We start from the raw sequence: 22,793 nt of genomic DNA, 5'->3' as shown, positions 1-22,793 counted from the left end.
CTTTGAATTTCACACAATTTGCATTTCACAATGGGGACCCCACTCATTCCCCTCCACAATCACCCCACCCCTCATTACTTCCCAGGTTCCGTCAACATTCCTATGAACTCAAATCAGTATTTAACCCATGGAATTTATTTTGAACTAATAAATGATTGCCTTCCACAGTATACATGTGACCCTTCTCGTTTCTTCAACTCCAAGCAATTTCCCAATGCTCCTTCACAGCCACAGAAAATGTAAAGTGTCTACACTTAGGAGCTCTAATTTGAGTAGCGTCTAGCTCCAAGGCAGTCTTCCCAAAGTTCACATCCACCCACCTATTGACATTTGGCATTTTATGACTTATCTACTCCCAGTCTTCACATCTTCCAAGTGCTTTAAATTAAGCTATGGGATACCTGAATAAAACTGCACCCATAATATACACTCTACTCAACCCTGAGCTTGAAGTTACTCCATCCTTGCATTTTTAGCATAGGTTCCCATCTCCTTTCCAACCTCCATCTCACACTTCAAGGTCCTCATCTGGAAGACATTTTCTCATCTCTAGAAAAAGGTGCAGAATGCAATTTGCTGCAAACTAAATGTTGATGCTATGCGTTATGCCTTTCATCATTGCAGAAAGTCCTTTCTTATACACATGGAGGAAAGGTGAGTTTTCTTTTCATCTTTCCTGTCCTCTGTCCAGCCCCGTGGATGACCACTTTTGATGGTGTTGGTTTTAGCAAATATTATGTGATAGAGAAAGTGAAGTAAGGAGGTCAGATTTCTGACCAAGATTACACAGGTCAATGTCAATGGCAGAGCTGGGTGAGAAACCAGGAGGTCCTCTTCCCTGTTATACACAGGAGCCTGCATTTACATAAATGCAGACAACCAGGTGCTATTGGCTTAGAGGGAATGAGGGAGGGGAAAGTAAACACAATACTGGCTGGGAGTACCCTGTGTGTGATGTCTTGGAGCAATCTGCTCCCATTTGTAAGTGCAATAACAGTTGTGTCTCTAAATGCCACCTCACCATACCATGAAACCCTGCTTTTGAGAACAAATGTTAACTATCAGTCCTTATTTCTACTTTTGTACACAGTGGTAATATACCAAATCCACTCAAAAGGACTTGTTGCCCCCCAAAAGAGACACTAGTATTTAAATAATAATAAAATTATAAAATCTCTCTTCTACTGCTTGCCTTTTCCTATCATTCTCTCCTACTTCTTTTATATAATATCTTGCACATGGCTGGTGAGTGAGGCTTTGGCAATTATGTCCCCATGGAAAGTGAGAAAAAGAAAAAGCTCACCATCCCGGAATCTCTTATTGCAAAATCAAAAATAGTACACTCGATATTTATTCTGGGAAGTGTCACGGAGGTGGGCTGACGAGGTAGGTTAAGATTTTTCAGCAATAGTCCAGCAATATGGCACTGAAGAAAAAAATAAAGACAACCACCAACATATTCAAGAAAAGCACTGCTCTACTACAACACTATTTCTATAGAACTCACATTCCAAGAAGCATAAAGTACATTACTTATATTTATGGAACATTCAACACATACAGCATCATTTAAAGTACATGATAGTGTCTGTTTGCAAGGCTAGCCTTGATACATTTCAATTCAGCCATCTGCTGGACTTTCTTTTAATGTCCGATTCTATTAAAAGAATGAATAATTATAAATAAGTTACCCGAATACTTCTTCTTTGTTAACTTTTTAAAGTCCTGTCATTTTTTTCCCAGAATTTTATAATTTTGATCAGTAGTTCTCCACTGGCTAGGGATGGAGGGTGGAGGTGAGGGACCAATTTGTCAATGTCTGGCAGCGTTTGGGGCTGTCACAATGGGAGCAGGGTACTACTCGCATCTTATGGATAGAGGCCAAGATGTAGCTAAACATCCTACAATGCACAGTACAGCTTCTCACAACAAAGAACTGTCCAGTCCAAAACATCAACAGTGCTGAGATTGAGAAGCCCTGAGTTATAGGATTATTTCAAGCATTCATTCAGTCAACATCATTGTGTAGATGTCTGCTCTGTGCCAGCATGGCACTCAATTCTTTGGATGGTGTTGGTTTTAGCAAGTATTACGTGATACAGAAAGTGAGGTAAGGAAGTCAGATTTTTGACCAAGATTACACAGGTCAATGTCAATGGCAGAGCTGGGTGAGAAACCAGGAGGTCCTCCTCCCTGTCATACATAGGAGCCTGAATTTAGATAATCCTTCTCTAGGGTCCACAGTGCGATTCAACACACACCTTGATTCCTGTCTTTCTCTAGAAGAATCAGAGCACATAGACAAGAGAGGCATTAGGATCTTCCTTTATTAGGTGAACAGGGAAGGCCTGAGGGCACCATTGTTTTCTTCTAAAGAGATGAAATACAGGGAGCCAAAACCAGATGGCTGGTCTGCACTCCAGAAGATGTTAAAACTAGAACTTTGTCATTATTTAAAAGATCATTCGTAAGTCCATCAAGTGCCTTGAATTTTTCCCTTCTACTATGATTTCTCTGTTCACAGAAGGAGTTCAAAAAACATTCCTCAAGTCTGAAATCCACTCTTTAATAATATTCCATTAAGGTTAAAAATCACTCCTGACAAGGCGGCCGAGACCCACGCTCTTTCATCTGCACCCCAGGAAGAGAGTGAGGCTGGGAAGCAGAATGGGGTCAGATGTGGCTTCCAACCTCCTGGCTTCATTTGGAAGGAGATCAGAAAGGGAGATTGTTTCTTTGATCCAGGCCCTCTTGTGATTAAAATTCACCTTAAGGTTTTCTTCTAAATACTGTACAGGTAAACACAATCCATCTTCATGTACTGTTGAAACTGCAAACTCCTACCACATCTCAAGAGGGGAACAGCCCCAGCAGCAGCACCCCAGTAGTCATTACAGCACAATGATGTCCTCGTGCCCATCTTTAACAAGACTTATGTGTGATCCAGACACACAGCATGAGATGAGGATCTGATTAAAGTTGGGAGGCAGAGTGAAAGAAAAGACTCTTAAACAGCAAAGTATGTAAATAAGACCAAACTTGTTCATTAGCATGTAGTGGCCAATATAAACTACTTTCCAAAATTAGCTGAAAAAAATCTGTATGAAGTCTGACATTCCAGTGTTTTTGAAGGGGGCTGGGGACTGGGTGAGAAGCTATTGTAGTTGTTGCCATAGAAATGGGTCCAAGAGCTCTGGGACTGAGTTCCTGGAATTTGCAGCATTAGCTGGGGTAGAGGGGGAAACCCAGGAGAGGGACTACCACGTGGCTTGGAGACTCCGGGAGCAGAGAGGTGTTGAGTGAAGGATGGAGGTAAAGAAAAGGGGCAGACCAGGATGCACCTCCCCAGAATTCCCTTTGTTTGGAGCCAAATGTGGCCTCCACCTTGTGCAGTGCCTGAACATCCATGAGAGAGGCTGCAATTAAGCCTTTCTGCCAATCTCAGCTGAGACTGCCATCCCAAAGTTTAGTTTCTCAACAGTCCCTGACCTTTAGACTTGCAGGGCAACTTCCATGGGCTGTGTTGCAGCCTTTGTCTCCCATATCCTGAAGTATTTCCCCACCAAGGAGAGCCAGGGAGTTAGAAAAATCAAAACAAATGCCAAACAACTGGAAAGAGAATCAGGAGATAGGAAGCAAATGGAAAACTTTGCATTTCAATCATGATTAAGGCTGGACTTGGGTCTCCTGATAACGTAAAATATGCAAACCTCGGAAGCACTGCTATATATCTCCCTGGTAGCTTAGAGACTGATCAAATACCATCTGTTGTGGCAGTTGTCATGGCAGCATTTTTCTCCGAATACCAGTGTAGCTGAGTGCAAAGCGCATGAAAATAATTAATGCAAAGGAAGACCATCTCTATGGGTGCTACCACAGCCTAGGGGAAGATGACATTCTGGGCATACCAAATAAATGGAACTGTAGTTCTTATGGTTTAATAGTTTTTTGCCAAGCCCCTTGGGAAATCTCCAGTCTGGAAGGAGAGGCAAACAGCTGCTGCATTAAAGTCAGGCATGGTCACAACCATTTTTGTAAATCATGAAATGCCTAAAGCTTAGGCAGTAGGAGCTTTAGACCCCAGGCAAGGCTAAGTGAGAACCTGCAAGTTCTGGTGACTTTGGAAGCACAGTGTAGCTTCTTCATAAAACTCATATGTCAACTCAACTTCCTCCCAGAAGTGTGTGGGACCCTCATACCTGATATTGCTATTTGCCATCAAAAGTAATTGTCACCCATTCATTTATCTATTCCTTCACCCCTATTTACTCAGCACCTACTGGGTGTCAAGCAATGTGCTGGTGTTGAGTATATAGTGGTGAATAAAACAGACATAATCCCCAACCTTGTAGAACCTACAGTCGAACGCAGGGAAACCAGCATTTAATAAAGAAAGCACAAATAAGTATATGATGACAAGCTGTTATGGTTACTGTGAAAGAGAAGAGTGTTGGGAACGTGTACACAGGAAGGAAGACCTAATCTAGCCTATGGGTGCAGCACGGCCAAGGGGAGGGTAACAGACAAGAATTTCTTAAGGAAGAGGCAGCACATAGGTCCATGGATAGGGTTTTTTGTCTGCTTTGCTCACTGATGTAGCCCCAAGCACCTAGGATAGGGTGCAGCACATAATAGATCTACTCAAGAATATTTGTTTACTGAAGGAATAAAGAGAAATTTGTGCTGAGACCTAAGGAGTTAGCCAGGCACCAAGAGTGGGGAGAATAAGAACCTACCAAGCCTAGGGAATCTAAAGCTAAAAGACTCCATACAGGATGCAATATACCACATTCTGGAACCCAAAAAAAGTCATAATGGCTGGAGCATGGCAGGCAAGGGAGAAGGGCAATGAGAGGTCCCTTGACAAGAGTAGATGGGGCCACATTGGGGCATGTTGACCACATAAAGGAGTTGACATGGAGAAGGAGCGAAAGCAAGGGTCTCTTCATTCCTTGGGAAGTCTTGTCAGTACCTCGACCTGCCCCATTACCATGGAAGTAGCAGCCCAGCCAAGTCCTTCCTATCTGAAAGCTGGAGGATGGGCTGTTTCATGTTGGGGATGGGTCAAACAGTGGCCTCAAGGTGGCTTCTAGGCTGGTCACAAAGAAGGGGTGGGATGGGAGGCAGATATCAACATTTGTGGTCACATGTACCAGAAATGTCTGTTCCATATCTAAGAGGTCTCCACGTCCTTCTAATACCCCTTCCTCTGTCTCTTTCCAAAACTAAAAAAGAAGAAAAAAACTATGAAACCAAACCAAAAAGCAAAATGAACTTTAGGGAAATGCCCTCCTAAATGTCTGTCTTGTAGTGTTATCTGTCTCTTTCCTCTATACTCCTAGAGGTCACAGCCTTATGCACGATTTACCCACCTTCTTTTTTTTGTCCACCTGTATCAGTGTTGGGGGCCTAGCAACCTCACAAGATCACATGTCTTATGCAGCACAGTGTGGTCCTGGAGATGCACAGCTCCATAGGGCAGAGCTTGCGGGGTCCTGACACTACAGTTTTAATTTTAGAAGCGGACCTCAGAAATGAGGGAAACACATGGTGGTGCTTCCAATTCTCCTAGGTATGGAAATATTCGGGAGCATCAGGGCCTGCCCTTCTGTAATGTAAGCTACTCAGGCTGATGTATAAAGAAAGCCAACTTCGTCCTGTCATAAGAGGGGCTCCGTGACTCTGTCCCAGCTTTGGCTATTCAAGCATCAACGTTTACAGCAAGCCGGCTCAAGCTCTCATGGTGGCTTTGAAACAGGAAAGCTTAAGAATGTGGGAATCACGGGCTGGACACAGCTTATGAGTCCCTATGCCAGACTGCTTCTCCTCCTGCTTTTCCACCTTGCCCAGCTCCTGCCTTTAATTTGGCAGTGTTATCCACCATACTGTTTATAATATTTATAACTTCAGCTTTCCAAGATGTTGTCAAAAATTCCCTTTTTAAAAAACTTTTTAAGAGTTTCTCTGCTTTACAGCAAATGGGTAAGTCCATATGGATACAAAAAAAAATTATCTCTAGAGAAAAAATTGAAAGCAAGATTCTCAAATTCCTCCAGTGACTATCTTTTTCCACTTTGCTTCCAAGTGCCTAGAATATTTTTTCCTATTATTTTCCAACTTCTCAATTTTTCCCTTGAAACAAAGAAAGCAACCTGGGAGGGGAGTTGTAGCTAAAGTTCTAGAAGTCTATCCTTACTCTGGAGGCTCCCAAAAGATACTCATATGGCTGAACTCTGTTCTCTTTTAGAGATGGTAGACCCTATGAGAGGAAAAATTCCACTGGTGACTAGTGTCAGAAAGGCCCAAGGATACCTTTGTGTGCATTCAATCAGTATCCCATTCTGTGTATGCTTTCTCTTGCTACAATTTCAGAGTGACTCTCCTTAAAACTTCCTAGCACTTCCAAAAGGAATCATCAAGCTAGAAGCTGGACACAAACACAAAAGGGGAATGATTAGGGCTAAGGAGTGATATTTAGAGGATGTAACACAGGCTTTAGGTTCAGACAAGTCTGGATTCAAATCTTGTTTCTGGCATTTACTAAATGATGATGCTCAGCAATTACCCCAGTGGCCTGATCTATAAAATGGTCATTATAACACCTACCCCCTAGGGTGGTGGTTGTCATTAGACAAGAGGATATATTCGTGATGTTTAATATGTGCCCAACAACCGGTAGTTTTTATTACTGTGTTGTAATTTTAGGCATGAGTGGCCCTGGGCAACAGTTCTAAGGACAGGACATTCCAAAGCTGTGTCTTGGGTTGGCCCCTGGTGAAACAGAGAATCGAACAGGCTTATCTGCTTTCCGTTTCCTCCTCCAGGCTTTCCTCTCAAGCACAGCTCTCCAGGAATCTGGGCCTTCTCCGTAACCTGATGTCATGCTTACTTCTCCACAACCTCTTTCTTGAAAAGATGCTGATAAACAAATTCACACCAAGACAGAAGGGACTGACATTGGCTTCCCACATTACCTCTTGCCCACAATTATTAGGTGACAATATCTGTTTAAGAGAATATGACTCTGGCCCTCTCCCTCTCCCTCTCCCTCTCCAATATCTGTTTAAGAGAATATGACTTTGGCCCTCTCCCTTTCCCCCTCCCCCTCCCCCTCCCTCTCCCTCTGCCCTCTTTCCACCGTCTCCCTCTGATGCCGAGCCGAAGCTGGACTGTACTGCTGCCATCTCGGCTCACTGCAACCTCCCTGCCTGATTCTCCTGCCTCAGCCTGCCGAGTGCCTGCGATTGCAGGCGCGCGCCGCCACGCCTGACTGGTTTTCGTATTTTTTGGGTGGAGACGGGGTTTCGCTGTGTTGGCCGGGCTGGTCTCCAGCTCCTAACCGCGAGTGATCCGCCAGCCTCGGCCTCCCGAGGTGCCGGGATTGCAGACGGAGTCTCCTTCACTCAGTGCTCAATGGTGCCCAGGCTGGAGTGCAGTGGCATGATCTCGGCTCGCTACAACATCCACCTCCCAGCAGCCTGCCTTGGCCTCCCAAAGTGCCGAGATTGCAGCCTCTGCCCGGCCGCCACCCCGTCTGGGAAGTGAGGAGCGTCTCTGCCTGGCCGCCCATCGTCTGGGATGTGAGGAGCCCCTCTGCCTGGCTGCCCAGTCTGGAAAGTGAGGAGCGTCTCTGCCCAGCCGCCATCCCATCTAGGAAGTGAGGAGCGCCTCTTCCAGGCTGCCATCCCATCTAGGAAGTGAGGAGCGTCTCTGCCCGGCCACCCATCGTCTGAGATGTGGGGAGCGCCTCTGCCCTGTCGCCCCGTCCGGGATGTGAGGAGCGTCTCTGCCCGGCCGCCCCGTCTGAGAAGTGAGGAGACCCTCTGCCTGGCAACCGCCCTGTCTGAGAAGTGAGGAGCCCCTCCGCCCGGCAGCCGCCCCGTCTGAGAAGTGAGGAGCCCCTCTGCCCGGCAGCCACCCCGTCTGGGAAGTGAGGAGCGTCTCCGCCCGGCAGCCACCCCGTCTGGGAGGGAGGTGGGGGGTCAGCCCCCCGCCTGGCCAGCCGCCCCGTCCGGGAGGTGAGGGGCGCCTCTGCCCGGCCGCCCCTACTGGGAAGTGAGGAGCCCCTCTGCCCGGCCAGCCGCCCCGTCCAGGAGGGAGTTGGGGGGGGTCAGCCCCCCGCCTGGCCAGCCGCCCCATCCGGGAGGGAGGGGGGGTCAGCCCCCCGCCTGGCCAGCCGCCCCATCCGGGAGGTGAGGGGCACCTCTGCCCGGCCGCCCCTACTGGGAAGTGAGGAGCCCCTCTGCCCGGCCAGCCGCCCCGTCCGGGAGGGAGGTGGGGGGGTCAGCCCCCCGCCCGGCCAGCCGCCCCGTCCGGGAGGGAGTTGGGGGTGGTCAGCCCCCCGCCCGGCCAGCCGCCCCGTCCGGGAGGGAGGTGGGGGGGTCAGCCCCCCACCCGGCCAGCCGCCCGGTCCGGGAGGTGAGGGGCGCCTCTGCCCGGCCACCCCTACTGGGAAGTGAGGAGCCCCTCTGCCCGGCCACCACCCCGTCTGGGAGGTGTACTCAACAGCTCATTGAGAACGGGCCATGATGACGATGGCGGTTTTGTGGAATAGAAAGGGGGGAAAGGTGGGGAAAAGATTGAGAAATCGGATGGTTGCCGTGTCTGTGTAGAAAGAGGTAGACATGGGAGACTTTTCATTTTGTTCTGTACTAAGAAAAATTCTTCTGCCTTGGGATCCTGTTGATCTGTGACCTTACCCCCAACCCTGTGCTCTGTGAAACATGTGCTGTGTCCACTCAGGGTTAAATGGATTAAGGGCGGTGCAAGATGTGCTTTGTTAAACAGAAGCTTGAAGGCAGCATACTCGTTAAGAGTCATCACCACTCCCTAATCTCAAGTACCCAGGGACACAAACACTGCGGAAGGCCGCAGGGTCCTCTGCCTAGGAAAACCAGAGACCTTTGTTCACTTGTTTATCTGCTGACCTTCCCTCCACTATTGTCCTGTGACCCTGCCAAATCCCCCTCTGCGAGAAACACCCAAGAATGATCAATAAAAAAAAAAAAAAAAAAAAAAGAGAATATGATTTTGGACTCCTCCATATCTGGTTCTGGCTCCCTGACAGATGCCCACAAGACTCTAAGAAAATTATTAACTGCTTCAAGCCTTAGATTTGTCATCTGTAACATGAAATGCTGATATCTATCTCCCACCATTACTGAGAGGATTGGGTGGGTGGATATATGTCAATGATCTGGAACTTCACATACCCAGAGCTCTAAAAGGGCTCATTCTTCACGTAATTTCATAATGGCAGAATTTTCATACCAGCGGCATTTCCTGAAAGTGAAAGATCATTTTGAAGTGTGAGACACTCTGAGACTTGTTAAATTATGTGACACTAGTACAGCCTTTCTCCGAATATGTAATTTGTCACTAGCATTCATTTTTAGCCTGCCAGAACCAGAACTATCTATCCAAAAAACTTTGTGGTCAAAGTCTCTTCTATTGAGTTGCATGAGAAACCCTAAGACCTTTTAGGCAAATAGTTTTGGCTAAGGAGAGTCAAGAGTCCATTATGAAAAACAGTATGGAAGTTCCTCAAAATATTAAAAATAGAACTACCATAAGAACTCCCATTGACAAAAGGAAAGGAAATTGGTATTTCAAAGAGATATCTGTACCCTCATGTTCACTGCAGCACTATTCACAATTACCAGGATATGAAAATAACCTAAGTGTGCAACGCATCAAAGGATAAATGGATACAGAAAATGTGGCATATGCACACAATAAAATATTATTCAGCCATAATAAAGGAGGGAAATCCTGCCATCTGCAACAACATGGATGGGCCTGAAGGACATTATGCTAGGTGAAATAATCTAGGTACAGAAAGACAAGTCCTGCATGATCTTGTTTATACGTGAGATAATAAAAAGTTGAATTCATAGAAGCACAGAGCAGAACAGTGGTTTACCAGGGGCTGGTGGATGGGGGAAATGGAGAGATGGTAGCCAAAAGGCATCAACTTTCAGTCATAAAATGAACAAGTTCTGGCCGGGCGTGGTGGCTCACGCCTTTAATCCCAGCACTTTGGGAGGCCAAGGCAGGTGGATCACAAGGTCAGGAGATCGAGACCATCCTGGCTAACACGGTGAAAACCCATCTCTACTAAAAATACAAAAAATTAGCCGGGCATGGTGGCGGGTGCCTGTAGTCCCAGCGACTTGGGAGGCTGAGGCAGGAGAATGGCATGAACCCGGGAGGTGGAGCTTGCAGTGAGCCAAGATCATGCCACTGCACTCTAGCCTGGGCGACAGAGTGAAACTGTCTCAAAAAATAATAATAATTAAAAAATGAGCAAGTTCTAGAGATCTAAGGTATAGCATGCATGGCAACTGAAGTATCAATTACTTTGATTATGGAAATCATTATACAATGTATACATATATCAATTCTACTTTTTAAAAATCAAGTCGTTTTTGCAGAAAACATTGGTTTTACCCACAGAAGAGGACATAAACTTGGACTCAAACTTTAAGAAAAAAATCCTGACTTCCAGTCCCCTAAGACAGACAACAGAGGTAGACAGAGTGGGACTACAGACACTTGTTGGAGATTTCACCCAGTGCAATTACCTGGAACCTGACAGTCTCATTCATTCCTTGAAAATACAGATTGAGCATCTACTCTCTTCTCAGTCCTATTCAATGGGCAGAAAACGCAGGCAGACAAGACAGTGTGGTCCTTCCCTCAAGGAGCAGCTAGTCTCCTGGGCAAGAGTTGACTTTAAGTAAACAATCACTCCACTAAACATACAGTCACAAATATATTAAGGGACAACTTATTCTTATCAAGGCACCTACTCAAAAGCCTGACACTTACTCACCATGCTCTTTTAAAGAGGTCTGGATTGTTTCTTTGGCATCTTTGCCATATTACATGCTTAAACCCATAAGCCACCATAGAATCTTCAAGAGGTAGCAGAATATAAATGCAAAATTAAATAAGACATCAGATCCTTGAAATTCAGGAGTAGATATGTCTCTAGAGTGCAGTGAATCTTCAGTTTTGGAAGAAGCACTAGACCACATTGTTATACCCACAAAACAAGTAGATATAAAGGAATATGGTAATGGAATAATCTGTAGAGGAAGGCCAAGAGTGAAACTCATTCCTCAGCTTGGTACCAGTTCCCTCACACCAGCCTGTGTAAGTCAGCTTTGTGCTTTGTGCCTCAGCCAATTTGCCACTATCGGCAGCTTATGGTTCTTCTGGTTGTTCACGAACAGTCAATCCATGCATTTCCTGAAATTCCAACGATAGTGTGTACTTAAATGTAAGACCTGTCCTGGTGGCATCCATAAGCAGGAAACAAAGCCAAGCAAATACCTTTGAATGCATTAATGCTCAATTCAGAATCCTGCAGGACTTTGCTCACCTACTCTGATGATGGCTAGAATGAAGGCCATGGGTCCGCTATTCTCTGCCTTTATAGAACACCCTATTGTGTTAATGTCTATGAGAAATCTAACCCCAAATCACCATTGTTTCCACTCTAATTTCAAATTCTGCCAGCAATCAGTGGGTGATTATTATATGCCAGGCACAATACTAGAAACGTCCACATACATTACCTCAATCTATTTTTTATTTCAAAAGCTAGTTGTAGGCATGGCTAAGGAGTTGCACCTGAATCCTAGATCACTGATGATCGTGAATATATAACTTGGGGAATTTTGCAAGGAATACACAAAATATTTTAAACTAAGAAACGATTTGGCCAACAGTTTCAAATTCTAAAGTCTGTGATAAAGGCAAAGAGCTACATGCCAACCAATTAGGAATTATGAAATTAAAAATAATTAAGCATATAATAACTAATTCTCCACTCTGCATACTGCCTGCTGCCATAGCCACAATGTCAGAGGCATGGTCAAAATCCACTGAAAGAGGAGAACAAACTAGACAAGGAAGGATTCCATTACAGGACATCCCTGAGCTTTCCAAGGCCACAAGATACCAAATGCACCTGTGAAGAAAGAATGATAATTTTTAAGTTGTCATAGAATGCTAACCTCTGTTACTGTTTACATCTTTGCCAAATCTTTGGTTGAACTAGATAAAATTGCCATTTTTGTAGGTAAAAAATGGTTAAATATTGGTCATTTCATATGGTTCTATCTACATATCCACATATCAGGAAGTCTCCCTCCACCCACCCCAAGGACTAAAATTAAACTGCTGGGTGATCATAAAGAGAGAGCACTTGATAATCATTCATAAAAGGAGGCAACCAATGAATTCTGAAACTCAAATCAAATCCCGGCAAATCCTTCTTAAAGGAGTCTCACAAGACTGGTTATGCAATGTATGTAGAGGAAAAGACCAAGTAGGAAGAAACACCCTATCCAAAGGCTAACCATGAAAGGCCCTTTGCTCTGGTTAGGGTTTCTTCTGTACAATCTCCTTGGAGAGACAGAAGGGGGCCTGAGGAATACTTTAATTCCAAGTTGACTCATTTCAGAAAGCCTCCCACTAGAAGCATGCACAAGTAGTCCCTCAGTGGAAACCCGGAATGCATGCCTCTTTCTTCTTGCCTTCATATTCCTTCAGGGGAAAGTATACGAGACGACACTGTGGACAGGTTCTGCCCTCACATCCAACTCTGTGTAACTGGTACCATGTTCCCACCAATGTGGGAGCCCTCTCACCCAAGAAAGCTACTGAAATAGGAAAAGTCAACTCATCTCAAAGTTTCATCATTACTGGAGCTATTACTAAGAGGAGATTTCAAGGGTAGACAGGGGAATCAAGGATTTCGAATGACCAGGTGGAAAGTCTAGGGAATTGTGGATTTCTCAGGGCTCCTTGGCCACCTCTGGGCAAGGTACTCAATTTCCCTAAGCTTCAGTTTTTCCTTCAGTAAAATGGGGATAATTATTCCTTTCTTGAAAGCCATACAGAGACCTTGCCAGAAACTAGTATTTGCATTCTTATGAAACCTGAAGCACTGCGCTAAATTCTGTCCCATACATTATTATTTCAGTTAATTTTTATTTTTTTAATCCACCACTAGATAAGGTAGATATTATTATCATTTTTCAGATGGGGAAATGGAGGCACAGAGTGTTTAAGAGCCTTCCTAAGCCGCAGCTATTAAACATCAGAGTTAGAATTTGAACACAATAGGAAGTGTTCTGTAAGCTATGAAGCCCTATACAAACATGGGGCATTAACAACCAAACAGCAAGTGCTTTGCCAGAGCTGGGGAGAAACATGACCACCTTGCCTGGTCATTTTTCCTGCCCTCTGATTTCAGCAGTACAACAAGGCAATAAGTAATCAGTCCATGCAAACCAAATCTAACCTTTACATTTTAAAAAGGACACTTCACAGAGGAAGAAGTAAGTTTCTTAGGGAAGATATTTAGGTTCTAAATCTTCAGGAGCAAGAATAATTTAAGTCAATATAAACATTTATAGGCCTCTCAAGCTACCACATGCCAGTGCTTAGGATTCCTGAGGAAGCTCAGGAAACTTATGAGAATATCATCATTTAGGGATCAAAAACGTCAAATGTGTGCAGGGGGATAGGCAGGTAACAAATGAGTAAAACGGGTTAGGTATAAGACAATAGGGAATGGTGGAGATTGTGACAAACAGCCCACACCCACCCAAAGGGGGCAGCTCCTACCCAGTTACAGCCAATTTTTTGCCTGTTGCGTGCCAATCCACAGAAGATCAATTTTAATGAAATATATTGATTTTTATCTAACTGTTGGCATCTGTTCAGTTTTTGTTTTAAAAGCACCTCAACTTAGCTTTTTGGCCACCATTCTCTACTCTCTGAAGTGAGCACACTGGCACTTGTCCACTGACCTGACCAGTTTCCAACATGCAGATGCCATAGGCTAACCATGCCTTACAACGTCCAAACAGGATTTCCCTGCTAAGTTCCACTTCACGGCAAATTTTTAAAAAAACAACACATATACAAAAAAACACCTCTTTGATGCTAGGCTGAAACATAAGAACTCCATGAAGACATATGCAGGGAGGTGGATCCAAGCATGAGGCCCAGATGGCTTTTATATAAACCACAATCCACACGGTTATAAATCACCATCCAATTTCTCTTTCAGCTCAGATCTACAGCTATGTTTCCCTTCCCCCAGCCCCAACCTCGGTCAGCCTCACATTTGCTACATTCTTTAACCTTCCTGAGTACAACATGTTGCCACTCACAACACATCAGTCCCAATGCAGGTGTGTTGGGAATTTCTTCATTAAACATTCACTGAGTGAGCATCTACCAGGTTGCTAAGCAGTGTGAGCAAATGGACAGATGCCACTACTGTCCTCAAAGAAGTTAATGTCTAGTGGGGACACAGGCATTTAAGCCCAGTGTCCTAAAGAATTATCACCCCAGACGTTCAGTGGAAAAAAAAAAAAAAGTTACAGAGGTTAAGTGAGCTGGAAGAGGGTAGAGAAGGCATCTCAAACTCCAACCAGATCATGACCACATGCACAGTTCAAATCATATCAATTTGGAACATATAATAGTTCTAAGAAAAAAGAATGTACAAGGCAGGAATGCCCAAACTTTTGACTTCCCTGGGCCACATTGCAAAAAGAAGAATTGTCTAGGGCCACACAAAAAATACACTAACAATAGCTGATGAGCTTTAAAAAAGTCACACAAAAAAAAGATCTCATGATGTTTTAAGAGAGTTTACAACTTTGTGTTGAGGCTCATTCAAAGCCATCCTGGGCTGCAGGTGGCCTGTGGGCCACGGGTTGGACTAGCTTGAAGGCATCCTAACCTTTCCAAAAAGCAAAAGGATTCCCTCCTATTAACTTTTAAAACTGGAAACAACTTTACAGACTAATATATATTTAAATGCATGTTTGCTCAGTCATATCCCAGCAAAGAGGCTTTGTTACTTAACTCAGAGACAATGTGTCATGCTTGGCAAAGTGTGGTCACCAGAGCAGTAACATGATCAGCACCCAGGAGACTGTCAAAAATGCAAATTCCCCAGCTCCTCCCTAGGCATACCAAATCAGAAACTCTGGGGATGGGGTCCAGCAATCTGTTTTAATAATCTCTCCAGGTGCCTCTCACATATAAAGTTTGAACACGGCTATTGGAGGCTTTACCAACCCAAACACCATTTCCCTTATTAATAAAAATAATCTGTTATTTTGGTGTCTTTTCATATACCTTTAGAACTGAGTTAAAATATAAAATTGTGAGAGAAGAGACTGAATCCCACATTTCTTGAGAGCACTTAAACTTACACAGTGCGCTCAAAATATTAAAATTTGATATGTCACATCACTCCATTCTCTGTGAAACTCCTGGATTGTTGGACCACTTATTGTTTAGCTTTCTCATCTGAGAAAAATTAGCTGAGCACTTCTAACATACCTAGGCCTGTGCCAGGTGCTGAGAATATGGATATTTTTATTGAACTGAAAGAGATTTTTAAAAAAACTATTCACATTACAAAGCTTTGATGTTATTCAATAGCATATAAAATATGGTAAATTCCTAACATTTGCTTAAATGTTATGTTAATTAACAAGACAAACATATGTTAGTTGTGGGGACAAAGTACCTATTTGTGAGTTTACATTGGCAAAGAGGTCCAGAAGATGCAATATTCACTTCTAATTACTGAGATGAAATGCACTTGCCTCTCCCATGACAGCTTAGTATGTATATCGGCCCACAATGTGGACACAGTACTAGAAATAAAAAACTGTGGGTCTCTGTCCTCCACATGCTTCCCTACAGTGACGTGCTCTGAATGTACTGATGCAGCAAGCTCCATTCTGAAGGGTTCTAACAATAGAGGCACCTTCCAGTAAACTCAGAAATCCAAGGAACCCACATTTACAGCAAAATGAGCCTGTGCTATAAAACCCAAATAGCTTACTCTCTGATACAGCAAGAGTTATTTTGCATGAATCCCAGAGTGTATTAGTTTCCTATTGCTGCTGCAACAAATTAACCACAAACTTAGTGGCTTAAAACAATACAGATGTATTATCTACAGTTCTGGAGGTCAGAAGTCCAAAATCAGTCTCAGTGGGCTAAAACCTAGGATTTGGCAGGGCTGCATCCATTCTGGAAGCTCTAGAGGAGAATCTGTTTCCTTTACCTTTTCCAGCTTGTGGAGGCCACCTGCATTCCTTGGCTCATGGCCCCTTCTTCCACCTTCAAAGCCTGCAACTTAGCATCTTCCAATCTCTCTCTCCAACTTTACTTCCATTGTCACATCTCTCTCACCTTCCTGCCTCTGTCTTATAAGAATGCTTGTAATCACATTGGGCCTGCCCAGATAATCCAGGATCATTATCCCATCTCAAAATCCTTAATCGCATTTGGAAAGTCTCTCATCAGGTAAGATAACATATTCACAGGTTCTGGGGATTAGGATGTGAACATTGTTGGGGATGGGTTGACACTGTTCAGCTACCCCACTGAGGGCGTACTTTTTGAATAGGAAAAAATCTTTTGATGTACCATAGTTAGGAAATATGTGACTTGTAAACAGGGCAGGGAATGACCTTCTCACTTGCATTAACTGTGAGCCAGGATGAGACCAGGTGCCTTTTATACCCCCATCACAACAACCCTAGAAGGTAGCTTCCATCATTATCCTTTTCCAGATGAGAAGACAGACTCAGAGAAATTCAATTAACTGGCCCAGCACACATACCCCGTGTGTGGAACCTAGGTCAGCCTGATCCCAGAGCCCATGCTTATTCTTCTTATCCCACATCTCCTTCCCAAAACAGAATGTCTCATCCTGAGCCTCTGCCTATGCCTAGATGAGGGGCTAGGGTTACAAATGGAATGTCTGCCTTTCCATGTCATAGTGAGTCTTTTTTTTCTTCTTTAATCAATTCCTTTACATGTAGAATAGCAAAACAGTTAAGGGAGTAGACTCTCGAGCCAGGCTTCCAGCAAACAAACCCCAGCTTGCCACTTACTAGCTGTGTGACCTTGGGCAAGTTACTCAACTGCTCTCTGTCTCTGTTTCCTCATCTATAAAATGGCAATCACAATTGTATATGCTCTCATAGAGTTTTAGGAAGATAAAATCAGTCAATACAGATAAAATATCTAAACCAGTACCTACTCTAAGTGTTTGCTATACCTTGTTAAATAAAAGCATGGTGGAAAGTCAGGGACAAAGGTGCTACTGTGTGAGGGGAAAGAATGAGAGGTTCTTTATCACAACCCACAGCTGGCCCCTGGCAGAGCACATTAAATGGCATCAAGGTCTAAGTTCTCCATTCTTTTTAATGGAATGGATAAAATATATTCCTCATTCTATAGGATGGTTATGAGAATAAAATGAGTTAAAACATGGAAGGCACTTAGAACAGTACCTTATCATCATTTTTGTTATCAACATTAATAAACTGGTGGTTGTGAGGGTGCTTAATTAAATATGCTCACCTCAAGCAACACAAAAAACTCAATAAACTAAAAATTAACCACAAGTCCTGAGAGTAATTACAATGTTCTATTTGGGTCCTCTGGATAAACTGAGGAAGAAAAGAATTAGGGAAAGACACTTCTAGAACAGCACTACATATCTATTTCTTAAATCCTATTAGGAACTTCCAAATTAATACTGAGTGCTCAAAGCACTGCTCAGCTGTAGATAATGAAATCAGAATAATGGTATGTTAGAATCCTCCAGCTACACACACACACATTCAGGCCAGCTCCCTCCCTGGTCTTTCCGTCTGTCCATCTACCCATCCTGTATTTACTAAATGCTGACTACAGGCCCAGTCACCAAAATGACAGACGCTTAGGATACTCAAGTGAAAGACATGGTATTTCCTTCAAGAAGATGAGTAAACAGACAACCACAAGAGAGTGTATTATGTTAAAAGCAGGCACAGGACACTTGGGGACACAAAAGATGATAGGCACCTCATTATGTCAACACTTTGAGGAAACAAGTGACCTGAATATTAAAGGTCACACTGCCCAGGAAGGGGCAAGCGGGAGATCAGTCCTGTGGCAGACTGGACAGTACTTTATCTGTAAATAAGTACTTTGTATATTACCAAAGTACAAAGGCATGAAAATACACGGCCTCTTTGGCATACTACAAGGTATCTGGTCTCGCTGGGGTGTAGAGTTTGAGTGGCCAAGTGGCAGGAGAGGATGGTAATCAGATCTTGAAGGATCTTCTATTCCGTGCTAAAGAGTATGGAGAGGGAAATGGGAAGGCAATGACAGTTTTAAACAGGCATGACTGAAGAGACAGACAGACGTGGAGGTTGTTGCCACCTTTGAAAGACAATGAACGATGGCCAACACATAAGATAGTGTGTATATGCTGCCCTGGGTGGGAAGCAGTGGATGCTTCCTGCTGATCTTGGCCCTGAGCTCTTTCTACTTTGCTTTAAATTCTAAGTGGCCTATGGACTTTTCTTCATTCCTTCTTGGTTCTGCAACATGTGTGTGCCCTTAGAGCTGTGTAAAAATAGGCCCAGGGCCCAGGGAAGAGGCAACTCAGCTGCCCAAGGATCTCAGACACTCCCCAGGCATGTGGCCGGCTTTCTGGCAGCTGTTGGGAGGGCTCAAGGTCACTGGGCCTGGAAATCTGATCCCACTGCAGATGGCCTTTTCCTGGCCCAGGAGGCTCTGGAGAGAATGTAGCCAGAGAGGTACCTGGCGCCAGGGCTCTTCGAGGCCAATTCAAGGAGCTGCCTTTCACAAGGGGCCACCTGCCCCTGTTTCAGCTTTCATGTTGCCATCAGCAGGTCAACTCAGGCCCTTTCCAGAAATGTTCCATCTCCTCCCTTTTTGCTAACTCTCAGCTAAACCTAACTGGTTCTGCTGTAGCTGCAGATGAAAACTAAGGAGAACACGGCTTGGTGAGGTGGAGACTATTTTTATGATACCCCTTCTCTGTCACAGAGGTAAACACCATATCTCTGAAAATAGACTTGGGTTCGAGCTCCAACTCTGCCTCTCCCTAGGTAAAGAATCTGGGACCACGAGCACCCTTTTAAATCCTCAGTCCCCATGTACAAAATATAGACAATAACTGCATCTTTATCATAGGGCTGTTTTGAGTGATTGAGTAGGCTCTCAGCACATAGTCTGGTGCATAGTGAGTGATCAATAAATGTTAGCTCATTAAAATCTCATGGTAACCCTGCGAGGTGTTGTTCTCTTCCACATTTCTCACAGAAGGAAGTGAAGTGCTAAGGCCAAGTGGATTATCCAGGGCCACTTATGATGGGACTGAGCGAGACTGACCACAGTGTTCTGTGACATGAGATCTCTCAGGGGTTTCCTTTGAGTCCAGTGCTATCATTCAGAGAGATGTAGGCATACAAATGAATTCAAACCCCACTAAACAAGCCCCCACCCAAAAGCAGAGTTGGCTGTTCCCGAGGCATGTCTGTTTTTTAACAAATACTTAAGTCCCTTGAAAAATCATCAAAAGAGCTAACATCTACTGAGGCCAGCAACTCTGTGGCCAGCAACGTGCCAGCACTTCATGTAGATTGTCTCATGGAAGCCTTAAAACAACCCCATGAGGCAAATACTGTTACTACCTCTGTTATAGGAACTGGCTCCCTTAGAGACTAAGGGACACACCTGGGTTACAAGCAGTTGGCCTTCCCAGCCCTTGCTCTCAGCTGTGATGCCTTGCAGAGGTCAGAGGTAAGACCTAATCCGACTTCACAGAAAAGAGACTGAGGAGGACCAGAGAAAGGAGGGCTGGAGCCAAGAGCAGAGCTGAAACCTGACACTGCCATGTTCCTTCCTAGGCTACATCCCGCTGCATCTCCCCAGGTGCTGGCCTCCTGCAAGGGGCAGCTATGGTGGCCCTGTCCTGGGCTACCTACCCCTACTTATAGCAGCTTTTATCACTCATATATGGGGTTCCACAGCTTTTATTTGGGAAAATGAGGGGTTCTGCTTATGGAATAGAAGTTAGAAAATCACTGCCTGGCCCTTCTCTGTGCCTAAGTGCAGATTCCTACTGTCTTAGGAACTCCAGTGCTGGCATTTTCCATAGAGCTCCCTGAAAGGACAGGGTGAGAAGAAGGGCTGTGCTCTATGCAGCAGGGGCACCAAACCTGGAGTCTATGGAGCCCCAGGGCATACATGAGCTGGCCTCTGGGGTTCATGATCTGCTCAGGTTGTATGCAAAATTCTGGGATAAGTGCAATTTGGGGAGGAGAGAGCTAGAAGATTTCTGAAGGGTTCTCAGATTTCCAAAAGGTTCTATGTCCCCCAAAACATGAATGATCACTGAAAGAAATCTTCATTATCGTAGTAACTGCCATATACTGAGTGCTGATTATATGCCAGGAGAATAGGGATAATAAGATCACCCGCATCAAAGGGCTGTTGGGAGGATGAACTAAGGGGACATGCTGTATTTGTAAAGCACTTAGAATGGTGCTTGGCACAAGACAAACACTGTAAGCTTTGGTTATATTTTATCACTTTAATTAATATTATCCATTATTATCATTTTCATTGCCTCATTAGTCTTCATGAAATCTTTATGAGGTATGTATTATTATCAACCCCACTTCATAGAACAGGAAATATGAGGCTTCAAAGAGTCAAGTAATTAGCTCAAGGCTGCAGAATAGCAGAAAAGGAATTAGAAACCTGGCCTGGCTGGTCCCCAAGCTCAGGCTGGCCCTCCGTCTAGATGCACTGAGGGAAGAAGGCAGGAGGACTCCTTGAAGAGCCCAGGAGGAAGCAGGGGCTCAGCGCTGGGAGGCTCAGCTGACCCCAGGTCCAAGATCAGCTAAAGGGGAAAGCAGGCCTGGGGCTTTTTTGCTGAAAAGGCAAGCAAGCCTCCCTAACTTTGCACTTCTCCTAATCAACAACAGACAGCCAAGCTGCTTAAAATAATAATGATGAAAAAAGAAAACCACCCCCTGCCACTGGCTATTCCCAGGCTCCAAAGTGAGCCAATGCCCCCAATGTCCTGAGTACAGTGAGTTCAAATTGGGAAGCAGGGCCGCCCCAGCACCCACTGGCTAACCTCCAAGCAATGTTTTTCCTTCCACACTAACAGATAACTCTGCTGAACACACCACTTGAAAGCCAAAGAGATGCCCCTTGGTTGCCATGGCAATGTTAAATAGACAAAACATTTTAACCAGCTCTGACGCACACACGCAAACTTATTTAAGGGCCAAGGGGATGAATTTGGTGGGGGAGAGGGAATGGGGTGGGAGTGTTGTTTCTAAAGCTCCATCTCCAAGGATTTGGCCCCAAAAGCATCTGGGTCAGACTGAAACAGGGCAAAGCGCTCCTTAAAAACAAGCCAAGGCTGGGCTTGCTCCAGGAAAGGGAAGCCACTGCTGTGCCTCTCTGCCTTTGGGTTACAGACCTGGTGCCATTTTACCAGGGCCAAGAGGAGGGCGGCACTGAGGGTTACAAATGCTGATGGAAAAGCATCAGGCTTGAGTCCTGGGGAGAGCATCTCCGTTTCTCACCCAAAAGGTGTGAGTGTTATGCCAGCCCACAGCAGAGTCAGGAGGACTGAATGTGTGATGGGCTCATAAGCCTTAAAGCACTGTGTAGATGCGTATTAGTGCTAATATAAAAATATTAACAGCCGTTTCCAACCGGGTTGTGTTTCCATTTCCCAAATTTCATGGCTGAACTTCTGTCCACAGGAATTGATGACCTCGAATTTTTTCCTTTAGAAAACTTTGTTCTGAGGTTTCTCCCCCATATGCAGGAATCTGTGTGATGAAGCATGCACAAGGCTTGTCCCAGGTCTGAAAAGACCTCTGTGCCTATGAGTCTGTTGTACTGTGGGCTCTTCCATGCCCCTCCTTTCACCCCAGGTACAACAGGACAAGGAGTTGATGCTGCCCAGAGGCTAGAAGAGCCTCACCAGACACAGTTCATGGCAATTTGGTACAATCAATGGATGATTGTTTGTAAAACCTTCCTCTGTGGGATCCATGATTTCCTCAAGTAAACCCATTCTCCAGAAATGGGTTCCATGCCTGGCTGTCTCCACTTGGAATCCTCTTCCACCCATCATCTCTTGTGGTGAACTCTCTGACCTTTCAAGACTCACCCTTTAGAAGTTATTTAGGAACCTTCCTTGCCCTGGGGGTAGAATGGGTCTCCACAGTGCCATGCACAGGTGTCTGTGGGAGCAGCTGCAATAGTCTATTCTTCTAATTGTTCTCTGGTCTCTTGCCCACTTATCTGAGTTCTTTGAGGGCAGGGATCACATCTTGGTCACCTGTGTATTCAGCTTGGCCTAGTCCAGCATCTCACATTAGTAGGCACTCTGTGACTGCTTGCTGATTGACAGTCTAAAAGTACACAATGCCAAGCCCATTATGATTATGCACTGCTGCCCCTGGAATCCTCTAGGTCATATTCCACAAATGTCTGCTTTTACTTCCCTATCCTCTGGGAAGACAGCAGGAGTTACAGCAGAGAACAGAGCAGCTGGGCAGCCTAGTGGGTTAGGAAGAGTGAAGGGAGGGAGGAAAAGGTGCCTTCTTCCAGGGCTTGCTCCTCCTACAAAGCTCATGCTCCTAACCTACTCTTGAGCTGAGGATACAAACTGACCCACTGAAAACTGGAATAGCACCCACTCCATTCCTGCTCTGAAATAAAACTCCTTTTGTCTCTATTATTAAAGGGCCCTAAAGGTGCTCTATCTGTTTTCTTAGGGAGTGACCGCATTAACTCTATGCTGATTATTTTTTTTTCCTAGCAGAGCCCATTACCCTCCTAACAGGATACACTTCCCAAGTTCTCATCTCATTGTGTGTCATCTTCCTTCTGCCATGCTTTCT

General features: G+C 44.7%; 1 protein-coding gene across 46 annotated transcripts in view; it reads right to left on the bottom strand.

Moving 5' to 3' along the window:
- NAV2 (neuron navigator 2) overlaps positions 1-22,793 on the bottom strand; it is a 776,366-nt gene that overhangs the window by 253,446 nt on the left and 500,127 nt on the right. The window lies entirely within an intron of this gene.

Source organism: Homo sapiens, chromosome 11 (genome assembly GCF_000001405.40).
Source record: "Homo sapiens chromosome 11, GRCh38.p14 Primary Assembly".
NCBI classification, from domain to species: domain Eukaryota; kingdom Metazoa; phylum Chordata; class Mammalia; order Primates; family Hominidae; genus Homo; species Homo sapiens.
The sequence above is the reverse complement of the archived record's forward strand: the minus strand, read 5'-3'. Positions and strand labels throughout refer to the sequence as shown.